The 3,750-nt window shown below is 48.0% G+C and overlaps 1 annotated feature.

The window, feature by feature from the left end:
- Nucleotides 2,506-3,243: an enhancer, noted in NCBI's record as "OCT4-NANOG-H3K27ac-H3K4me1 hESC enhancer chr4:24507891-24508628 (GRCh37/hg19 assembly coordinates)". NCBI's record gives its function as "activates a minimal SCP1, AML or CMV promoter by ChIP-STARR-seq in naive H9 embryonic stem cells {active_cell/tissue: H9 hESC(naive)}" and the evidence as "EXISTENCE:reporter gene assay evidence [ECO:0000049][PMID:30033119]".

Below are 3,750 nucleotides of genomic sequence, written 5' to 3'. Positions count from 1 at the left end.
GGCCCCCAATGGACCAAAGCTGCCTGAACCTCACTCTGATTATCTGTGCCCAGCCTCCCCAGAGCTTCACATGCCAGTCACCTGCTTCTGGGTCCTTTCCTGTTCACCCACCCCAGGCCAGCAGGCCCTGAAGACTGAAGGTCCCAGCATTCTGATTAGCCAAATGTTAGCCGAACACTGGTGTGGTAGGCTGAATAATGGCCCCCCAAAGTGGTACACATCCTAATCCCAGGAACCTTTGAATATATTACCTTCTGTTCCAAAAAGGACTTTGCAGATATGGTTAGATAAAGGATCTTAAAATGGGAAGGTTGTTCTAGATTTTACAGTAGGACAAATGTCATCATAGGATCTTTACAAGAGGGAGCAGGAGGGTCACCAAGTAGGAGGTATGATGACAGCAGAGGTTAGAGTGATGCCAGGAAGGGGCCATGAGCCAAGAAATGCCGGCGACTTCTGGAAGCTGGAAAAGGTGAGAGGACAGGTTCTCCCCAAGAACCTATGGAAGGAATGCAGATCTATTGACACCTTGATTTTGGCCTGGAAGACCCACTTTAGACCGTTGACCTCCAGAAATGTAAGCTTGTAAGTTTGTGGCATTTTAAGCCAATGAGTTTGTAGTAATTTGTTACAGCAGCCGTAGGTAACTAAAGCAACCAGTATCACATGTTTATGCAAAAGCTATACATCATTATGGTAATGCCTTCTGCTTCCCTCTTTCTAGAATACCCTTCTCCCCAGGTAGCCGCATGGCCTCCATTCACACCTCTTTCACCTTCTTGGGTGTCTCTAGTCAGATGCCATGTGCTCAGAGAGGCCTACTTCAAATAAAACACACCCTGTCACAGGGTTCCCCCTTGCCCTGCTTTGCTTTACTTTTCTTCATAGAAAAGTCTATATCTTTATTTATATATGAAAGCCAGGGCCTTGTTTTGCTCCCTTCACCTGTTGAAAGATTGAGGAAAGGAAAGTTCTTGCTTGTGGTAAGAACCCTCTAACTTAAGGGCTTCCTTAGTGAATAAATATTCCCACTTCACCAATATTCTTCATGTGGTTTGTCTATTTCTTCCTCGAATCCTTTTCCATAAAACGAGGACAGTGCTTAAATCACGGACTGCTTCAAGTGCACCGCAGGTTGTCAACAAGAAATCGGCATTTATTTTGCACTGCAAATGAGAAAAACAAAAGTGCCTGGTCCTAGGCCAACAGCTTTTTTAAAACCATAATTGTAGGGATTTGAGCTACTGTGCTGGGCCGAGGGCAAAGGTGAACCCGATGGCTCTGAGCGAATGGCTCACCTGGGCTTCCCAGGAGGAGCAGAGTCATTTGGGGGCAGCACTGAAACCTAATTCACCAACTGAGGTCAGCAGAGCTGGGAATGAGTTGGGCGATTCTCTGGATTCACTCCTTGCCTTTGGAGCATGACTGTTGAAACATTCCTGGGCTCCAGGGTTAAAAAAAAAAAAAGTCCCCACTCCTGGGTGTTCCCTCTCCATTCCCCTGCCTGGCCCCAAACTCCCCAGGCTGAGACTTGATGGGTTTTGGGGATACTGCTGTGGATGGAGAAATCCTTGCTCTCTTGGCTCCATGCAGAGGCCTTCCGGCAATTGGTGACAGTTGCACCCACTGTGTGGCTAACACTTCAGCCTGGCTGCCTGGGGCCCTTCCTGGTTTTCCAGCAGTGGGCAGGCTGGAAGGGTAAATGGCACCAGGAGTAGCCTTGAGTCAGTGAGGAGACAAGGTTGTGTAGCCTCCTCCCTTTCAGGTTGGGACGATTTTCAGGCACGATCCACACAGGGTCCTCCAGCAGGATAGAGCTCCAGTTGCCTTCCCAGGAATGGGCTTGATAAAGTCCCTTTTATTGGCTTTCTTCCCTTCCCTGTCCACACTTCCCTACCGGGACTTCCAGGGATCATCTCAAGTTAAATACCTGCACTGAATCCTTGACTGTGGGTCCGCTTCCGGGGGAACCCAGATTGAGAAGCAGCCCGCGGCTCCTTCACTAAATGGTTCACTCCATGGAAGCTACCCAGGCCTCTGAGCATCTGCCCATGCCACTCCCACCTCCAGCAAGCCACCTCTCTTTCCTCTGCCTGCCTCAGTCCTCCTCAGCCTTCAGTGGCATCTTACCCATCCTCCGAAACCCCTCCTTCCCTTCCTCAGCAGTGAAGTGAGCATCCCTCTTCAAACTGGCACCTATTCACTGCCTGTGGTAATTCTAAAATTGTTCAACTTTTGGTAGAATCAGAGTGGGTGGGGTGGACGTGTCACTCCCGAACACTATAAATTCATAGTGACCATGACTTAGACTTTTTAATCTCCCTTAGAACCTACGGTTTTGGACCCGATGCCTAATAGTGAGCTGTGATCACGCCATTGCACTCCAGCCTGGGTGACAGAATGAGACCCTGCCAAAAACAGAAAAAAAGAAAATCTTTAGTTCTGAACAACAGAAAACCCAGCACAAAATAGGGTTATGCAAAAATGGGAATGCATTGATTTATATAGCAGAAAAGTTCGGGGGTAAATTGGCTTCAGGCAAGACTCATCAGGCTGGGCGCGGTGGCTCACGCTTTTAATCCCAGCACTTTGGGAGGTCGAGGTGGGCGGATCAAGAGGTCAGGAGTTCGAGACAAGCCTGGCCAACATGGTGAAAACCCATCTCTACTAAAAATACAAAAATTAGCTGGGTGTGGTGGCCGGCACCTGTAATCCCAACTACTCGGGAGGCTGAGACAGGAGAAACACTTGAACCTGGCTTCATGCGCGTCCGTGTGAAGAGCCCACCAAACAGGCTTTGTGTGAGCAACATGGCTGTTTATTTCACCTGAGTGCAGGCCGGCTGAGCCTGAAAAGAGAGTCAGCGAAGGGAGATAAGGGTGGGGCCATTTTATAGGATTTGGGAAGGTAAAGGAAAATTACAGTCAAAGGGGGTTTGTTCTCTGGCGGGCAGGAGTGGGGGTGGCAAGGTGCTCAGTGGGGGTGCTTTTTGAGCCAGGATGAGCCAGGAAAAGGACTTTCACAAGGTAATGTCATCACTTGAGGCAAGGACCGGTCATTTACACTTCTTTTGTGGTGGAATGTCATCAGTTAAGGTGGGGCAGGGCATATTCACTTCTTTTGTGATTCTTCAGTTATTTCAGGCCATCTGGGCATATACGTGCAAGTCACAGGGGATGCGATGGCTTGGCTTGGGCTCAGAGGCCTGACATTCCTGCCTTCTTATATTAATAAGAAAAATAAAAATAGTGTTGAAGTGTTGGGGTGGCGAAAATTTTTGGGGGTGGTATGGAGAGAGAATGGGCGATGTTTCTCAGGGCTGCTTCAAGTGGGATTAGGGGCGGTGTGGGAACCTAGAGTGGGAGAGATTAAGCTGAAGGGAGATCTTGTGGTAAGGGGTGATATTGTGGGGATGTTAGAAGAAACATTTGTCGTATAGAATGATTGGAGATGGCCTGGATACGGTTTTGGATGAATTGAGAAACTAAATGGAATAACAGAAGGAGAAAAACAGGTATAAAAGGTCTAAGAATTGGGATGACTCAGGATATCTGATTAGAGAGTGCCTAAGGAGATTCAGCATAGTGCTGCCAGCAAAGATTATTTATTTACTTCAAGAGTTAAGAGTGGCAGTTTGGGGATAGCACCAGGAGATATCAGTTGTGATGGCTTGGAAAAACAGTGTAAACCAGCAGTGTAAACAAGAGCAGGGCATGTATGAGTAGTTGAGAACGGTGAATAGGAGTATGA

Source organism: Homo sapiens, chromosome 4, assembly GCF_000001405.40.
Source record: "Homo sapiens chromosome 4, GRCh38.p14 Primary Assembly".
In the NCBI taxonomy this organism is placed as follows: Eukaryota; Metazoa; Chordata; class Mammalia; order Primates; family Hominidae; genus Homo; species Homo sapiens.
The sequence above is the reverse complement of the archived record's forward strand: the minus strand, read 5'-3'. Positions and strand labels throughout refer to the sequence as shown.